Raw genomic sequence first — 18847 nt, forward strand, 5'->3', positions numbered from 1 at the left:
AGTCTAGTAATGTAAAGCTCCGCTGAGAGGGAGAGTGCTGAAGAAGGGGACAGCCTCTGTACCTGCGGCGCGGCCCGAGGGGCGGACGCGAGCGGAGTGACGCGCTGGAGGCTGTTTATAGCGCTGTCAGGACAGCGCGGGGAGTGGAGGCAGAGGCCTGAGGTGAGGGGCCTCGGGCCTGCTGCGCCTGCAGGGAGTTGAACAAAACGCGGGGAAATACGGGCTGGGGGTGGGTGAGAGGAGGAGCGATGGGCTTTCCACTTCCACAGCTTTAAAATTTAAAAGCTCGACCCGGGAGGCTGTTGGCGTCTGGTTGCCATAACAACCGGCAGCCTCGTGGCAGGCCGGCTGGGGGCGGGGCTCTGAGAACCGGGGCGGGGCTGTGGCGGGGCTAACAGGCTGCAGCTGAGAAACCCACCCCGAGACGGAGCCGGAAGGCCGTTATTCAGAGGCGGCTCCGAGCCTCCCCTTCGCCTTCTGGATGCTCTGAGCTCCTCAACTTGGCGTTCAGGGCCCTGCATTGTCTGGTCCGTTTTCACCGGAGAGTCCAGCAACTGACACTTTCTTCCCTTAAACCTGTTGGGCGGTTCATTCCTTTGAGCTACTGTACATGCTCTTCCTTCTGCCGGTAATGCCGTTCCCTCCCCTATTGTCTTGTCCGCCTGAAGGGTTTATCAGAGTCTCTGGAGGCCCTCTTCATCCCGACGATTCTGTTGCCCTAAGAAATACTGTGCCCTGAATTGCGGAACAGAGCTCTAGTTACAAAAAACACCCGCTGGCTGTGTGCACCAGATGCGTCCCCAACCCGCTGCTCCCAGTTCAGAGTGCACCAAGCACCTGCCCTATTCCCAGAAGTACAGAGGAAGCAAGCAGCCCCCAATTCACATCTCCTGCCGCTGCCCTGATTGGGGATGAACGGGCACTGACTGCAGGGCCAAAGCCACAGCGGCCTCTCGAGCTGCAGAGTTCTCCTGACACTGGCTCTAGAGGACCCTCACCCCCCAGCTCTCAAGCTCAAGCTCCCCAGCCCCCTGAATAACAGGACCATCTCCTTTAAGACTCTAAGATATAAATGCAGGGGCTGGTCAGAGTAGTGACTCCAAAAAAAAAAAAAAATCACTTAGTGACTCCAAACTGTCAGCCAGGCGCGATGGCACATGCCTGTAATCCCAGCACTTTGGGAGGCTGAGGCAAGAGGATCACTTGAGGCCAGGAGTTTGAGACCAGCCTGGGCAACAGGGAGACTCCATCTCTACAAAAAATAAAAATGTTAGCCAGATGTGGTGGTACACACCTGTAGTCCCAGTTATTCAGGAGGCTGAGGTGGGAGGATCACTTGAGCTCAGGAGGCCGAGGCTTCAGTGAGCTATCATTGTACCACTGCACTCTAGCCTGGGCGACAAAGCCAGACCCTGTCTCCAAAACAAAAAAGCAAGGTGTCTTCTGTTCCTTGGTAAAGGGCAGTAAAGGGTAGTAGGACTTGAAATTCCCCCTGATTCAGAGTCCACTGTTGCTATTTACTAAACACCCTGAGCCTATGAAATGAAGAGAATAGTTATGCTATATGGGGTATATATAAAATATACCTATATATCATTATATATCGTACATATGGCATTCTATATAACATGTACATATATCTACATAGGTATATTTATATCAATACATATATTTGTATATTATTATGTATATATCACTATATACATTATATACCTGCAGGCTCCACATGTGTGCATGAGTGGGAACACACACACACACGTACACACACAGTGCCTGGCACTAACAGGAGCTTGCATAACTAGAAGGAAACTGAGGCAGGTGGTGAGGCCTGCCAGCCTGTTTGGTCTCCTACAGCTGGTAGAGCAGCCCCTGCTCTCCTGACCTTCAGTGGCCCGGACCCTCTTCCATCACCCTGTGTACCCCACAGAGCTCCCCGGATTATGGTGCACTGAGAAGGCATCTGGAAGCCTGGGCCCTCATGGCATCCAACGATAAAGGCATGGCACCCTCGCTGGGCTCTCCCTGGGCCTCCCAGATGGGGCCCTGGGATGCCATCCTCAAGGCTGTCAAAGACCAGCTCCCGTCTCTGGACTCAGACTCCCCTTTGGTAAGCAAGAACTCTCTCCCTGGATGCCTTGTCCTTCCTACCAGAGCAGGCATGACGCTGGCCAGGACAGCTTTGGAGCACTTCTCTGAAGACTTTTCCTGCTGACCTGTGCAGTTTGTTGTCATTTTACTTTAAATCGCATGGCCAGACTCAAAGTTGTGTTTTCTGGGTGCCTATTTCCTTCTTTACTCTTTCTTCTGCCTTGATTGTCATCTCTGAGCATGGGTATTGGTGCTCAGCATCTTGGGAGACCCTTTCAGTGGAGTTTTTGGTGCTGACTTGGAACCCAGGTCAATTTGATGCAGAAGCTCTGTCCTTTCCATTCTGCTATTCTCCACTCTCTCGTGCCAGGACAGGGCCAGAACACCCACTGAGAATGCACAATTCCAGTGCATTGTGATAAGCCTTCGAGGGATTCTGCATTTGTGGTTTGGGGTCCCTGAAATGGCTCTCAAAGACGCTCAGACCAATAGCCCTAGGTGCAGGCATAAGACCCTGCTAAAGATGCTCCTGGCGGGGGCTGCTCAGTGCACAGGTTGGCACTGGGCGTTAAGAGACAGTATGAGGGTTTTAAAAGGAACGGGCAGGGTTTGGGTCCTACCTGGGCACCAGCAACAGAGCTTCAGGGACCTCAGACGTCATCCAGTGCATGACGAGGCTAAGGAGAACCTAAGGGGACCCCACGCCTCAGTGCTCAGGGTGTTTTCACACCTTCAGTCTCATTTGAGAGTATGAGCCCCAACCCCTTCAAGAAGACAAACTAAGCTGTGTAAGTGATGGCTCAGGGTCACAGGGGATGGGGAGGGCTGGACCCTGCTCTTTCAGCTACCACCTCACTGCCCTGTTCATGTCACGAGGCATTAATGAAGCACCTGCTGTATGCGAGGTACTTGCAGAACCAGGAGCCCCAGTCTCACCTCCACGAGGTTGTGCTGCCAAGCCCATTTCTAAACGGTGGCAAGAAGCCGCGCACAGCAAGGCTGACTGGGAGAGAACCGGATCTCCCCCAGGCTCCTGAGCAGCAGGGCTGGACGGGCTGGATGGGCTGGGCGGGCTGGGCTGGAAGTGAGAGTGGAGAGTGGAGAGCGGGGGTGGCTAGGCCCTCAGGGCTCTGCCTGCTGCCTTGTCCTCCAAAAGCCCTCTCATTTGTCCACAGTCGGACTATGGGGAAGAGGAGCTGTTCATCTTCCAGCGAAACCAAACCTCCCTGATTCCAGACCTGTCGGAGGAGCTGGCTGAAGATCCTGCCGATGGCGACAAGTCCAGGGCCTGGGTCGCTGCAGCTGAAGAGTCCCTTCCCGAGGTCTGTGGGACACAGAAGAGTATACGCCTGTGTGTGTGCGATGTTAGTCTAAACTGACTGGTCTAAACCACTGTTCTAGCATTTCCACGATATGCTAGAACATGGTCCTTTTTTTTTTCCCCCATGTACAACCCAAGGTATTCAGATGCCCAACATCTAACCTCCACGCACCTCCCTCTCCTGGGGAGCCCGGCACCTTAGGGCTGGCATGCACGCTTGATTTTCCATCCGATTTTGACCCTTCTCTTCTTCTTGATCGCTCCTATCCTGTTCTCTACCATGGCATCCTGAATAGCTTCTGGCCATTGTCACAACTGCTTGTCCTAATTGTCTCTCCCTTAACCCAGCTGGCTTCATGGCTACCTGGCTCATCCCAGCACCTGGCGAGTACACAGGAACTCTGGTTTACTAAACTGCTAAACTACACTGCTACAGGCTACAGTGGGGAGTGGGAGGGAGGAAGATGGCCCATCAGTGCCTGAGCAAGCACACAAGCTGGACCTCGTGGGAGGGACAACCCAGGAGACAATGAGCAAATGTGGACTAAGCGTGCCAACGCAGGCCTGTGTTGCCAGTGCTGGAGGCTGAGACAGAGGTTCCCATGAGGCCAGGAGTTTGAGACCAGCCTGGGCAATACAGCAAGACCCCATTTCTGGCTGAGCACAGTGGCTCACGCCTGTAATCCCAGCATTTTAGGAGGCCAGTATGGGTGGATCACTTGAAGTCAGGAGTTTGAGACCAGCCTGGCCAACATGGTGAAACCCTATCTCTACTAAAAATAAAAAAATTAGCTGGGCATGGTGGCAGGTGCCTGTAATCGCAGCTACTCCAGAGGCTGAGACAGGAGAATCGCTTGGACCCGGGGGAGCAGAGATGGCAGTGAGCCAAGATCACACCACTGCACACTCCAGCCTGGGCAACAGAGTGAGACTCCATCTAAAAAAAAAATAATAATAAAGAAAAGAAAACAGTGTAGAGGCACTAACCCACTTCCAAAATGGAGACGGGGCCTAGCTCCAGCGTAACTTCTCTCAGGTGTTCTGCTGAGAACAATTAACCTACTGAATGGGAGGGCATGGGCACCGAACCAGATCATCTCCCAGAACCAGGACATGCACCCACCCATCACCTTGAAGGAAATCTCCCATCAGCCCAGCCATTCCTAGACCTAGGTTTGAAATAACCCCACACAAGAGAGATCCCCAGGGCAGCTAAGAACTCTGGTGGGTTCAGGTGGAACAATTTGCATGTGATTTTATTTTGCTGCTTCATTTTTACAATCAATTACTTCAGAAACTCTTCTGGATGATTTTTTCTTGTTTTTTTTTTTTTTTTTTTTTGTAATGTGGGATCTCTACTAAAAAATTAGCTGGGTGTGATGGTGTGCCTGTGGTCCCAGCTACTCAGGATGCTGAGGTGGAAGGATGACTTGTACTCTAGCTTGGGGTATGAATTTCTGAGCCCCAACATTATCATGATTGATAATTTAAATATTGTTTCATTGCTGTAACAGTGCATTCCACTCTAGCCTTGTATTTAAATAGCAGGATGCCTCAGTGGTGCTGTCTTTAGCCAGCCCATATTCAACAGTAGCTTTCCAACTTTTTTTTTTTTTTTTTTGGGACAGGATCTTGCTGTGTCACCCAGGCTGGAATACAATGGTGCCCTCACTGCTCACTGCAGCCTCCACCTCCCGGGCTGAAGCGATCCTCCCACTTCAGCCTCCCAAGTAGCTGGGATTACACGCACGCCACTGTGCTGGCTCATTTTTGTATTTTTAGTAGAATGAAGTGTGCAGTTAAAAATGGTTAAAAGAGGTCAGGCACAGTGGCTTGTGCCTGTAATCCCACCACTTTGGGAGGCTGAGGCAGGAAAGATAGCTTGAGGCCAGGAACTTGAGACAAGCCTGGAAGACCAACTATGTTGTAGAGACTCTGTCACTACAAAATAATATTAAAAAAAATTAACTGGGCCTAGTAGTATGTGCCTGTCATCCTAGCTACTTGGGAGGCTGAAGTGGGAGGATCGCCTGGGCCAGGGAAGTCGAGGCTGCAGTGAGCTATGATCGCACCACTGCACTGCAGCCTGGGCAACAAAGCGAGACTTCACCTCAAAAAAAAAAAAAAAGTACATATTTTTCTATGAAAAACATTCCCTGAAGCATGTTTTTGAGGATGCTAACTGAACATACCTGTTTTCTTGACAGCCAGTTCTGGTGCCTGCAGAATTGGCCACAGAACCTGGGTGCAGACAGAACACAAGGACAAAGGATGCATCCTCTCAGGAAGGAAGAGACCCTGGCAGGCCTTTTGAAAGCTCTGGTGAGGTCAGCGCTCTTCTTGGGATGGCCGAGGAGCCCCCCAGGTGGCTGGAAGGCGACCTTGGAAGCCTGTCTTTCAACACCAAAGGATCCCAGGGTCCTCCCTGGGACCCACAGGCCGAAGCCACTCTCTCCTGCCATGAAGGAGACCCAAAGGCAGAGCCCCTCAGCACTGCCTCACAAGAATCTGTGAACCGCCGGGCCCTCCGACAGGAGAGAAGGAAGATGATAGAGACGGACATCCTCCAGAAAGTCACCCGGGATGCCTGCGGCCCGACCAGCAGTGACAAAGGTGGGGTGAAGGAGGCGCCCTGCCACGCTGCGGAGTCAGCTCCCAGATCCAAAATGCCCCTCGTGGAGCCTCCGGAGGGACCACCAGTGCTCTCGCTCCAGGTAGGCGCCTCCCCGTGCCTGGCTGTTTCTCAGGCCTGTTACCTGTGGCATGGCTGCTGTTCCCATGCACTGGAGCTAGAAGCAGCTTGAGGGCTGGCCCACTAGGACCTTAGGCCCATTATCCACCATTCTGTGTACCTGTCTCAGTAGAGGGGTGGAGGGTCCCAGCAGAGCACATCCTGGGGGAGGGTTAACAAGAACAAAGAACAAGCAGGGCCTGCCTTCCTTAAAGAGAGAAAAGGAGGCCAGGCACAGCGGCTCGCACCTGTAATCCCAGCACTTTGGGAGGCCGAGGCGGGAGCCCCGGAGTTCAAGACCATCCTGGTCAACACAGTGAGACCCTCATCTCTAAAAAAAAAAGAAATCATCCTGGCTAACACGGTGAAACCCCATCTCTACTAAAAATACAAAAAAAAAAAAAATAATTAGCTGGGTGTGGTGGCGGGCGCCTGTAGTCCCAGCTACTCAGGAGGCTGAGGCAGGAGAATGGCGTGAACCTGGGAGGCGGAGCTTGCAGTGAGCCGATATCGCACCACTACACTCCAGCCTGGGTGACAGAGCGAGACTCCATCTCAAAAAAAAAAAAAAAGAAAGAAAGAAAGAAACAAAGAAAGAAAGAATGTATAAATTTAAAAAGAGAGAGAAAAAAGGAATTCCACTCCCGAGGATGTTCATAAATACATATAGCCATATCTAAAATATAGAACCTGGTTCTGTCAAAGCCTGATCTCAAAATATGAAAGCCCTCATTCTCATAAACTAGTGAGCACCTGTTAAAAAGTTGTATTTAGTGCATTAATGAGGGAACCAGCAGGATGACAGTGCCGGTTTAATGAGATCATAAGAAACTGGGATTTTGGCCAGGTGTGATGGCTCACGCTTGTAATCCCAGCACTTTGGGAAGCCAAGGCAGGAGGAAAATCTGAGGTCAGGAGTTCGAGAGCAGCCTGGCCAACATGGTGAAACCGTGACTCTATTAACAATACAAAAATTAGCCAAGTGTGGTGGTGCGCGCCTGTAGTCCCACTATTTGGGAGGCTGAGGCAGGAGAATCGCTTGAACCCAGGAGATGGGGATCACGCCCCTGCACTCCAGTTTGGGTGACAGAGCGAGACTCCATCTCAAAAAAAAAGAAATTGGGATTTTGTAAAACACTGGGGAAAAAGAGAGGAATGCAGAGATACGCTTGTCACATTCATGTCCTAGAGGAGTTATCTTGTCTACTGGACAGAAAAGTAACCATCACACCGTCTCGGTTTTACACATTTTGGATAATTTTTCTTAACAGGTTAGAGAAAACTGGCACCAGGTATACACAGAAGTCATCTTTACTACTGTTTAAATCAACCGTTCTTTCTGCTCACCTAAAAACTTATTTTTCTCCACTTAGAGGGCTGCAAAGAGTTGAAAGGTCATATGATAAACATGAATTCTTGATTAATTTCCTCCCTCCTCCTCAGACTCACTCTGCCCCTAAGCACTCACTGCCAAGCCTTCCAGTTTTAGCTCCTGCCTGGAACAGCTTGATTCTTAAAAGAACAAAATTTTTTAACCTCCAAACATTGTGAACCTGTATGAACCTAAATAGTGTTTCTGAAAACAACACAGGGTTTGGCTGGGCTCGGTGGCTTATGCCTGTAATCACAACATTTTGGGAGACCCAGGCAGATGGATTGCTTGAGGTCAGGCATTCAAGACCAGCCTCGCCAACATGGTGAAACCCCATCTCTACTAAAAACACAAAAATTAGGCTGGGCGTGGTGGCTCACACCTGTAGTCTCAGCACTTTGGGAGGTGAAGGCGGAGGTGGAGGCAGGTGGATCACCTGAGGTCAGGTGTTTGTTCGAGACCAGCCTGGCCAACATGGTGAAACCCCATCTCTACTAAAAATACAAAAAAAAAAAAAAAAAAAATGAAGGGTGTGGTGGCGCATGCCTGTAATTCCAGCTACTTGGGAGGCTGAGGCAGGAGAATCACTTGAACCTGGGAGGTGGAGGTTGCAGTGAGCTGAGCTCGCACCACTACACTCCAGCCTGAGCGACAGAGTGAGACTCGGTCTCAAAAACAAAACAAAATGAAACAACAATACAGGGTTTCCTTCGGGTCAGACAACGTCTTTGTGCCAAAAACAAAAGTGAAGTACTGATCCCCAAGAAAGCATAGGAAGGAGGTGGCAAAGTGCAGGCCCACCTTAACGGAGGCGTTCAATCTGTAATGGAAAGGCGGGGTCAGCCTATTTGCAAACTCTGTCATGCACTGAATTCCTGATTTCTACCCCCAACATCCTGTGACCATCTCCATGGGTCACAGCAGCTGTGAAGCAGGTACTTGTGCCTCTGGGACCCCTCAGCATCCTCATAATCACTGGTTTTAATGATTTCAGCAACTTGAAGCGTGGGATTTGGATGACATCCTTCAGAGTCTGGCGGGACAAGAAGACAACCAGGGAAATCGTGCACCTGGAACTGTGTGGTGGGCAGCTGACCACCGCCAAGTTCAAGGTCTGACCTTGAACACTGGAGCCCACGTGAATCCCCACAAGCAGCACCTTCCTGGGCCCCTCAGACACAGAGGGCTGCAGGCTGGTCACAGACAGTCCTGCAGCCCACACAAGTCTTCCCTGCTGGCCCCGCCCTAAACACTCATGCTGCCAGTCCCCAAAAGACTTCATTCATTCAACATATATGTGACCGCCTGCTACGTGCCAGGCGTGGGCCAGGTCCTAGGGACAAAGGAGAGGCCTCCGCACCCCACCCCATGACCCATACCTCCTCTTCCCCACCTCCCTGGGCCAGCCTGCCTTCCTTCTCCCTCCTCCTCCTTCCTGGGGGAAGGAAGCCCCACCTTCTGTGCGCAGTCAGCTCCTAAGCACGCTCCCGCTTCCCCTGGCCTCCCCATTTAAAAAGGGAGGCAAAGGATGTCACCACTGTCACTACACTCATGGCTTTGCTCTGGGAAGTCCTGCAAATAAAATGAAAGTTCTCCAACCCCTCCCTATCCACTCGGGCCACAAAGGCGAGGGGAGGCAGGTCTGAGGCAGAGGAGCCAGGGCAGGTGCGGCGCTTCCGCCTCTGGTCCCAAAGCAAAGACTCCCCTGTGACTGACAGCCCGTGTTATGTTAAATACATTTTGTTGGTTTGTAATTCAAATCCCATAAAGCAGGAGGTAGAGAGCCAACCATTCTGGAGGACATGTGTGTGCATGTGTATGTGTGTGTGTAACTGGCACTCCCTTTGTGGAGGGGAGTAGGGCAGAATGTATTCTTTTTTTTTTTTTTTTTTTTTTTTGAGACAGAGTTTCACTCTTGTTGCCCAAACTGGAGTGCAATGGCACGATCTCGGTTCACTGCAACCTCCACCTCCCGGGTTCAAGCGATTCTCCTGCCTCAGCCTCCTGAGTTGCTGGGATTACAGGCACGTGCCACCACGCCTGGCTAATTTTTTTTGTATTTTTAGTAGAAACGGGATTTCACCATGTTAGCCAGGCTGGTCTCGAACTCCTGACCTCAGGATCCGCCTGCCTCAGCCTCCCAAAGTGCTGGGATTACAGGCGTGAGCCACCGCGCTTGGCCGAATGTATTCTCTGTTTTAAAGGCACATAACCCTTTAATCAAGCTATTGCAATTAGAAAATCTGTCTTACACTCTGACTCTAGTAGGTAAAGATGTGTGTTCAGAGCTGTTTGCTGCAGTGTTGTTTAAAAATCTGAAAAGCTGGAAACAACCCATATTCAGGAGGAGTCCAGCTAGATCGTTTTAGCACAGAATACACTGCGGCTCGATGAGGGGATCTCCGTAGGTTAACGTGGAAGCATGTAATATACAAAGTGAAAAAAGTGAAGTTGAAAAAAAACCTATAGAGGATGACCCTATTTTTTTTTTAAGTCAACACACAGAACTGTTCATTATGATCACCTGTGACAAGTGGGACCGGGGTGTGAGGAAGTGGGATAAACTTAAAAATACGTCACTCCTACTTCACCAAGCCCTTGTGCCACAGGCCCTGCTCATAAAGATTCTGCCCCCCTCAGCCCTGCTGAGCTAGAGGTGGAGTCCTCAGAGGGCTGAGTAGGGAGAGGGCTGGGCGGGGGCAGTGGAGGAGCCTGAGGTCCATTCACATGTGGAGACCCCAGGGGTCCTGAGGCTCCAGCTGCTGTAAGTCACAAGTGGGCCAAGTCCCCACTAATCAGCCTCTCCTTTGGCCATCCTCAGACCGCATGGTGCCGAGCGCCCACAACAGGCTCATGGAACAGCTGGCCCTCCTGTGCACCACGCAGTCCAAGGCCTCTGCTTGTGCCCGGAAGGTGCCTGCCGACACTCCCCAGGACACCAAAGAGGCAGATTCAGGAAGCAGGTGGGACTTGTAGCCAGGCCCGGCTCCTGTGGTCCTTTAGAATGGCCCCATGGTTTTGTAGCACTGACTGGGCCTACCAAGGGCGGGGCACTCCATGTGCATTTTCTCAGTCACTCTCAAGCATCTGATCAGGCAGTCGCTCCAGTCATCCCCATTTTAGAGATGGGGAAACCAAGGCTCAGAGAGGTTGACTCTCTCTGGCCATAAATGGCAGGGCTGGGACTCAAGCCCTCAAGTACCTGCTCTTTCCCCAAACCCAACGGGAACCCTCCTTTCAATGGGAGGCCATGAGGCCTCCCTGAGAGTAGGAAGGTTATCATGTGACCCTGCCCCTCTGGCCACAGCTGATTGGTCCAGCTCTGGGCATGTGACCCCAGCTGCGGGATTTTTCAATCTCTGTGTCTCTGTGTAGGGGTGGAAGGGCAACAGCCACCTGTCCTGCCACAGGGAGAAAGGCAAGCTGCAGTGAAGCTGGGAGAGGCAGAGGTGGAGGCAGGGCCCCAGGGTCCCGTAAGGCCCCTCTATATGCCTGCCCTCCCCACACTTTGGTTGCTCCGCACTTGAGGAATCTGAGAACCAGTGAATCCCTTTTCACCTGACCAGCAGTGGGTTTCTGTGTCTGGAAACCAAAAGTACCTAACAGAAGTGGCTACACCTGGCTGGGCGCGGTGGCTCATGCCTATAATCCCGGCACTTTGGAAGGCCGAGGCAGGCAGATCACCTGATGTCAGGAGTTCGAGACCAGCCTGGCCAACATGGTGAAACCCCATCTCTACTAAAAACACAAAAAAATTTTCCAGGCATGTTGGTGCATGCCTGTAATCCCAGCTACTTGGGAGGCTGAGGCAGGAGAAATCTCTTGAACCCAGGAGGCGGAGGTTGCAGTGACCAAGATCATGCCACTGCAGTCCAGCCTGGGCGACAGAGCAAGACTCTGTCTCAAAAAAAAAAAAAAAAAGAAAAAGAAAAAGAAATGGAGAGAACTGCAGTGTTAACCATGGCAGCCATTAGCCGTGTGTGGCTACTAAACACCTAACGTGGTGAATGTGACTGAGGAACTGAATGTTTTATGCATTGGATTTAAACTGGCTTAAATGTAAACTTAGCCACTTGTGCCAAGTGGCTACACTTACCACAGATAGAGAGCATGTCCATCATGAGGGACGTTCTGTTGGCCAGTGGTGGCCTAAATCTCGCATGCTGTTCTGAAGAGTAAAAGAGCAAATGTGTTTAATGTGCCCGTCTGTAGAGAGTGGGCACTCACTGGGTGGCAGCCACGAGCACTGTGACTGGACAAACCCAGCGCAGGTCACAGAGTTATCACAGAGAACTGACTCCACAACACCTGCTTTTCTCATTTCAGATGTGCCTCAAGGAAGCAGGGCTCCCAGGCTGGGCCAGGCCCGCAGCTGGCCCAGGGCATGAGGCTTAACGCAGAGTCCCCCACCATCTTTATTGACCTGCGGCAGATGGAGCTACCAGACCACCTGTCCCCAGAAAGGTCCGGAGGGCAGTGACTACCCCATACCAGCCTCTACTTTGCAGAGTTGCCTGTTGACCGCACAGAGCCTCTGGTGGATCCTGATGGGGAGGAACAGGGACTTCAAAAGGCTTGGATCAATTCTCAATTGAAAAGTGCTGGCCTACAGTCCCCCTGGGTCCCTGCAGGGAGGGAAGAGGGGCATGAGGCACACCTCCTCGGGCTGGGCTCTATGCAATAGAGCCCAACACGTCTAGGCTGGAGGGCATCACCCACACCTGTCCTCACCTCCTGGCAGGACGTCCACCGGCCTCCAGTGTGGCTGCTGACCTCTTGCATTGGGTCACCAGCAAAGCCCGAGTGCTTCAAGCCCCAACAAGAGTTGGAACACCAGGTGGAGTGGGCACATCCAGAAACCCATTTCTCTCCCTGCAGCTCCAGCCACAGCTCCTCTGACAGTGAGGAGGAGGAGGAGGAAGAGATGGCAGCTCTGGGAGACGCAGAGGGGGCATCTCCTTCCTCCCTGGGGCTACGGTAACCACCCAGGGGCCTCTCGCCACCTGCAGATGTCCCACCTCTGCTTTCTGCAGCAAGCCCTCCACCTGGCACATTTACCGCCTGTGGTGAGGTCTTGCTGCACCCACCGCACAGGGTGAGGGGGACGGCACAGCTTTCATCATCCTGCCCACGTCCACTGGGTCCCAGCAGTGGCAGCAGTGATGGGCTGCCTGAATTGCATTCTTGCTCTGAAATGGGAGCTGGGCTCATCTGCTTTTCTCCTGTTTCAGTAAGGAGGGCTGGGAGGGGCGGCCCCCACGGGGTTGAGTGAATTTGGTCTCATTGTGTCACAGGACCTGTACCGGGAAAAGCCAGCTTCTCCAGCAGCTCAGGGCCTTTCAGAAGGGGACAGCCCAGCCCGAGCTGCCTGCCAGCAAGGGGCCCGCGGGTGGGAGGGCTCAGGCCCCTGAAGACACAGCTGGATCACGAACTGGGAGGAAGCAACACATGAAGCTCTGTGCCAAGGGGCAGAGCGCCCAGGCTCGACTCCCAAGAGGCAGGCCCAGAGCCCTGGGGGATGTTCCTGAGCCAGGGGCAGCCAGGGAGGCCCTGATGCCTCCTCTGGAGCAACTATAGCTGCCTCAGGTAGTGGGATCCCAGGAGTGGGCAGGGGCGGGCTGACTTGCCATGGACCCTGGGCCCCGGTGTCCCCTTGTTGTTCCTGCATTTCCACTAGCAGGGGCATTCCAGAGGCAGGGACCCTCAGACTTTGGACTGTTGCCCACCCTGTTAGAGCTCAGTCACAGGTGCATGAACTTAGAGGAAGGATGCAGATACAAATCTGTATGTAACCTGTGACAACAGCTTTGGGATAAAGGGGCCTGGTCCTCTGAGGGAGATGGGCAGGGACAGCAGGAGGACGGGGTGCTGCTCTCTGCGGGACTCTGAGGCTCTTCATCTTTCTCCAGTTCTGCATTTTTTTAAACAGGCATCTATTATTTCCATCAATAAGGTCTTTTTAAAAACCAAGTAAAACGTATTTAGAGGATTTTAGGGTTGAAAGAGACCTAAGCCTTATTTTCTGGCTTCCTGCATACTTGCTATTTTGGGCACCTAAATTAACACACGACACACACATGCCTACCCACACAGATCTAATACACGTGGTTTTTTCTCTTTTCGAGACGCAGCAGCTGGGACTACAGGTGCACACCACCATGTCCAGCTAATTTTTTTTTTTTTTTTTTTTGTAGAGATGGGGTCTCACGGTGTTGCCCAGGTTGGTCTGGAACTCCTCTCAATCCTCCTGCCTAGGCCTTCCACAGTGCTGGGATTATAGCACTGTGAGCTGCCAGCCTGGCTTTTAATGAACTTTTTGAAAGAGGAGTAACGAGAATTTGCTTTCTCTTTCTCTTCTTTACCTAAGATAGAAAGGCACACATAGATTCTCAAGGCCTTTGACCTTTATGAATCTAGACAGAATACTGGAAACCCCTGGAAATGCTGTCCTGTGTAGAATGGAGCAGCGGCCTCACTTGTTGATCACCAGCAAAAACTGGGGACATCTGCTTGCCCCCTGCCAAGACCCGGCCCCTCCACAGGACAAGCCTGGTCTTCCTGGGTCCTGTTCCTTTGCCAGCACCGTCTTGCAGCCCCGTCTTCACGGGATGCTTTTGTAACTGCTGTGATCAGCCCTGACCTGGGCACCTGTTTGTCTCCCCAACCTTGTCTCCAGGATGTGTCCTGCTGTCTGCCCCGTGGGAAGAGCAGAGAAATCATCACCACCTTGGGCCCCACGGTGCCACGGGCTCAGGCAGCACAGTAGGGCGCCGGGCCTTTGGGACAGTGTCCCAGCTTCCCCTGGGGTTCACCCCTGGCTGCCAGGCCACTGAGGATGGGCAGGGGTCTCTTCTCATCAAGCCTTGTACCAGGCAAAAGACAGGCCCTGCTTGGCCGTGGTCACTGGCCGCCAAGATCAGGGCTACAGATGTCTGCTCTCTGGACCCCACGTGATCTGGCCACTGGGGACCCCCACCCGACCCCACTCCCAATGATGAGGGGCATTTTCATTGCAAGTCAAAGGCAAGACAGGCTTCCATAAAGTCCCAGGAGGTCCCTCCTGTAGGGCACAAGGCCAGGCTGCCTCCCAGCCCCCAGGCCCTCTCCCACCTACAGAGACCCTCCCCTGCCCCCTCCACTCCGGGGCCTGTGCCGCCAGAACCGGGCTCTGCCCCCATACGCTGCCCTCGCAGCCTGGCGGCCTCCGCTGTGGCTGCCTAGCTGTCAAGAGCAAAGGCTTTTTTTTTCTTCAACCCCATTTTCTTCCATTTCTCCCACCTTTTTAATGCCAGTAACCTCACTGAGAATGTTTTACAGTGATGGAAAATAAACTCTGTTCCAAGTTCAACTCTGAATTACTGTGTCTGTCAAGGCAAGGGGAGTGAGGTAGGAAGTCAGACCTGCGTCCAAAGCTGGCTCTGCCACCTGGGCAAGGTTTTCACGCTCCCAGTGCCCAGTTCCTCCACCCACAGAAGGAGAATCATGGCCGGGCGCGGTGGCTCACGCCTGTAATCCCAGCACTTTGGGAGGCCGAGGTGGGTGGATCACAAGGTCGGGAGTTCAAGACCAGCCTGACCAACATGGAGAAACCCCATCTCTACTAAAAATACAAAAATTAGCCAGGCGTAGTGGTGCGCACCTGTAATCCCAGCTACTCAGGAGGCTGAGGCAGGAGAATCACTTGAACCTGGGAGGTGGAGGTTGTGGTGAGCCAAGATCGTGCCTTGCACTCCAGCCTGGGTAATGAAGTGAGACTGTGTCTCAAAACAAAACAAAAAAAGGAGACTAATGGGAGTCCCCCCTCACTGGACTGCATGAGATAACATCACAGCACACGCAGGCACCTGGGACTCACAGCTCCTACAAAACTCTCCCATCACGTGAGTGCTGAGGATGACGCCCATGAGATGGGGCCAAGCAGCAGGCAGCGACCATGAGATGGGGCCAAGCAGCAGCCAGTGGGAGGCCACAGCCTCGGCAGGGGGAGGGAAGTGGGCAGACCCCAACCACACTCCCCCAGAGGCCGCCACCTCCAGCACAGGCCTGGATATGAGAGAGGGGCCTGGGGGCTCAGGCTGCGCTGGGGAGATGGGTGTCAGCAACGCTGGGTGCTTTGCTAGCTCCTGGAGTGTGGCCTGGCCACATCTAGCTGGGTACCTCATGCCCCATGAGAGATCCCAGAGCTAGTCTAGAAGGTAAAAGCCGTCCCTCAACCAGGCAGCCCCATTCTGCAGACACAGGACAGAGCACACAGGGGCCAGAAGCAATGACTTAAAAAAAAAATTGTTTATTTTATCTGAGACAGGATCTCACTCTGTCTTCCAGGATGAGTGCAGTGGCACAATCACAGCTCACTGCAGCCTCAACTTCCTGGGCTCAAGTGATCCTCCAGCCTCAGCCTCTCAAGTAGCTGGGACTACAGGCACACCCCATCATGCCTGGCTAATTTTTTTTTTTTTTGTGTGGAGTCTCGTTCTATCACCAGGCTGGAGTACAACGGTGCGACCTCGGCTCACTGCAACCTCCGCCTCCCTGGTTCAAGTGATTCTCTTGCCTCAGCTTCCCGAGTAGCTGGGACTACAGGCACGTGCCACGCCACCATGCCTAGCTAATTTTTGTGTTTTTAGTAGAGATGGGGTTTCACCATGTTGGCCAGGATGGTCTCGATCTCCTGACCTTGTGATCCACCTGCCTCGGCCTCCCAAAGTGCTGGGATTACAAGCGTGAGCCACTGCACCTGGCTTTTTTTTTTTTTTTTTTTTTTTGGTAGGGAAGAGGTCTTTCTATATTGCCCAGGCTGCTCTTGAACTCCTGGGCTCAAGCAATCCACCCGCGTTGGCCTCCCAAAGTGCTAGGATTATAGGTGGGAGCCACTGTGCTCGGCCTCTGACACTAAATAATGTCAGTTAAGGGAATGAGAAAAAGGGCAGGTCACGCACCTGGAACCTGGGCTGTGCCAAAAGGTCAAATGTGCACGTATATACAGTGACTAGGTGACAAATGCAATGGAGCATCCCAGGCTGGGATGAAGGCCAAGGCCACCTACCTATGAGGAACAACCACTGCCTGGCTGGAACGTTCCAGAACCCAGTGGTTTCCATAGCTGCCCTACGACTTCCGAGATGACTAAACCCACCAAGGACTCTATCACACTGCTTGTCTTGGCCACTCACCCACCGTGGATGTGCACAGACCAGTGGCTCCCACGCAGCACAGGCCAGACAAAAGCTGGAAGGTGAAGGCTTCTTACCTTAGAAAGACAAAGTGGGGCAACCGTGGAAGGCCACATTCCAGACACTAAGGGGCCAGGAGCAAACGCAGCCCTGGGCCCCGGCCCTGGGGAGATGTCAGGCCCGTCACATCCCAGGCAACATGTCAGGAAGATGGAACTCAGGGGTGCTTTCCCGCCCCAGGTGTCTTCCGCCCTGCAGAGCAGCTATGGATCTGCAAAGGGGACTGGAATGCTGCAGAGCCCCGGGCTCCATTTGGAAACTCTGGCAGGATGAAGAAGCTGGAGACCACGTCCTGGGAAGGCTGGGGTACAGCAGGGCTCCCTGCAGCAGACGAGGGGTCCCTCAAATTCATGTGCACCCAGACCTCAGAATGTGACCTTATTTGGAAACACGGGTTTTGATGATATAATTAGTTAAGATGAGGTCACAGTGTATTGGGGGACCCTAAACCCAGTGAGTGGTGGCCCTACCAAAAAAGAGACTGGGCATGGCGGCACACACCTGTAACCCCAGCTACTCAGGAGGATGAGGCAGGAGGAACACTTGAGCCCAGGGATTCGAGGCTGCAGTGAGCTATGATCATGGCACTGTATTCCCGCCTGGGGGACACAGCAAGGCCCCGTCTCAAAAAAAAAAGGGGGGGGGAGCAGGTGGGGGGTACACACAGAGACAGCGCACAGGGTCACAGACACACAGGAGAGGGGTTGGGACGTGGGGATGAGGCTGTATGCCAGCAGCCACTGGATGCTGGAGGCAGCTGATGGACCCTCCCAGGCCCTTCAGGAGCCAGCCCCACGAACACCTTGAGTGTCGGCTTCTGGCCTCCTGAGTGTGTCTCTGTGGCTGAAGCCCCTGCTCTGTGTCACCTGTTCTGGCTGCCACTGGACACTCAGAGCCTGTCCTTGCCCTTGTTCTGCACCCAGTGCCCAGCTTCCTCTGCGGCCTGGGCATCCCAAATGTCCCCTGCTGGCCTCATACTGGGCCATGGGAGGAAACGGGCAGCTGGCAATGCTTTCGGACCAGGCTGTCTAGCAGTTTCCTGAATTCTGTGCCCAGGGATGAGAGTCCTGGAAAGGGAGTTTCAGGCCTGGTGATCAGGCTTTGGCACCGGGGCCTCCAGGAGCCACCGGCTGGAGCGTCGGCAAGGAGCCTGCCCCCATGTGGGTCCGCTGGTGCTTGTGCAGGTCGGTGCCCCGGCGGAAGCCCCGGCCACAGGCCGGGCAGGTGTAGGGCTTCTCACCTGTGTGCGTCCGGCGGTGGGCGCTGAAGTGCGAGCTGTTGTTGAAGCGCTTCCCGCACTGGGTGCAGGCATAGGGCCGCTCCCCGCTGTGTGTCCTGCGGTGGATGACCAGGCTGGAGCTCTGGCTGAAGCGCTTCCCACACTCGGGGCACGGGTAGGGCTTCTCGCCTGTGTGCACCCTCTGGTGCGTGCTGAAGTTGGAGCGGTCGCTAAAGCCCTTCCCACAGACTAGGCACTTGTAAGGCCGCTCGCCCGTGTGTGTGCGCTGGTGCTTGGTCAAGTGGGACGTCTTGCTGAAGCCTTTGCCACATTCGGGGCAGGTGTACGGCTTGTCAGCCCCATGGGAAGCCCGTCTTCCTGGTGGGGGGCCGCCTCTTGGCTGATCAGGCCTGACCAAGCCCCTGACTGGGGCTGGCCTCTGACCTGGGAGCGGGTGGCCAGGCCCCTGGCATCGTGCCGAGAGCACTCGGTACCACTCCATTCTCAACGGGGCATCCTCCCTGCCATCACCGCCGTCCTCCAACTGGATCCCAGGTCCTGAGACAGAGAAAGCACGATCTCTAGGAACTCACAGCAAGAGGGCAAGGGAAATCCTTCTAATAGGAAAATGAAGGCCTCACAGGGCTCCTAAGGTTCCCCTACAAAACATTTAGCAGGGGCTGGGCACTGTGGCTCACGCCTATAATCCCAGCACTTTGGAAGGCTGAAGTGGGAGGATTGCTTGAGCCCAGGAGTTCAAGACCAGCTTGGGCAACGCAGTGAGATCTCGTCTCTACAGAAAATAAACAAAACTAGCTGGGCATGGTGGCGTGTGCCTGTAGTCCTAGCTACTCAGGAGGCTGAGGTCGGAGGATCACTTGAG

General features: G+C 53.5%; 2 protein-coding genes across 7 annotated transcripts in view; one reads left to right on the top strand and one right to left on the bottom strand.

The window, feature by feature from the left end:
- On the top strand, positions 1-14860 carry DNAAF8 (dynein axonemal assembly factor 8). Of its 3 annotated transcripts, none has more exons than NM_139170.3 (10): positions 1-162; positions 1928-2107; positions 3264-3410; positions 5617-6123; positions 8507-8624; positions 10334-10475; positions 11839-11976; positions 12391-12489; positions 12807-13098; positions 14189-14860. In NM_139170.3, the coding sequence occupies exons 2-9, from the start codon at positions 1979-1981 to the stop codon at positions 13087-13089; spliced, it is 1563 nt and encodes a 520-aa protein (NP_631909.2). In that variant the 5' UTR covers positions 1-162; positions 1928-1978; the 3' UTR covers positions 13090-13098; positions 14189-14860. The 3 variants fall into 3 exon arrangements, with proteins under 3 accessions (NP_631909.2, XP_005255201.1, XP_016878464.1); XM_017022975.2 differs by lacking the exon at positions 1-162 and adding an exon at positions 422-628; XM_005255144.4 differs by lacking the exon at positions 1928-2107.
- ZNF500 (zinc finger protein 500) overlaps positions 9709-18847 on the bottom strand; it is a 22918-nt gene continuing 13779 nt past the window's right edge. For 2 of the 4 annotated variants that reach the window (NM_021646.4, XM_005255243.5), the window contains one exon: positions 13703-18522. In NM_021646.4, coding sequence (NP_067678.1) covers positions 17840-18522 — 683 coding nt within the window. In that variant the 3' untranslated portion in view covers positions 13703-17839. Of the gene's footprint in view, positions 11681-13702; positions 18523-18847 lie in introns of those variants that run through there. The other 2 variants (XM_011522453.3, NM_001303450.2) reach the window with 2 other exon arrangements.

The sequence above is a fragment of the Homo sapiens genome, chromosome 16, assembly GCF_000001405.40.
Source record: "Homo sapiens chromosome 16, GRCh38.p14 Primary Assembly".
Lineage (NCBI taxonomy): Eukaryota > Metazoa > Chordata > Mammalia > Primates > Hominidae > Homo > Homo sapiens.

Bases quoted from the DNA above. Each gene is read 5' to 3' on its own strand.
- DNAAF8 (XM_017022975.2), top strand. The intron at 3,411-5,616 runs GTCTGTGGGACA...TTTTCTTGACAG, and splicing joins CTGAAGAGTCCCTTCCCGAG to CCAGTTCTGGTGCCTGCAGA. The intron at 11,977-12,390 runs GTCCGGAGGGCA...CTCTCCCTGCAG, and splicing joins GACCACCTGTCCCCAGAAAG to CTCCAGCCACAGCTCCTCTG.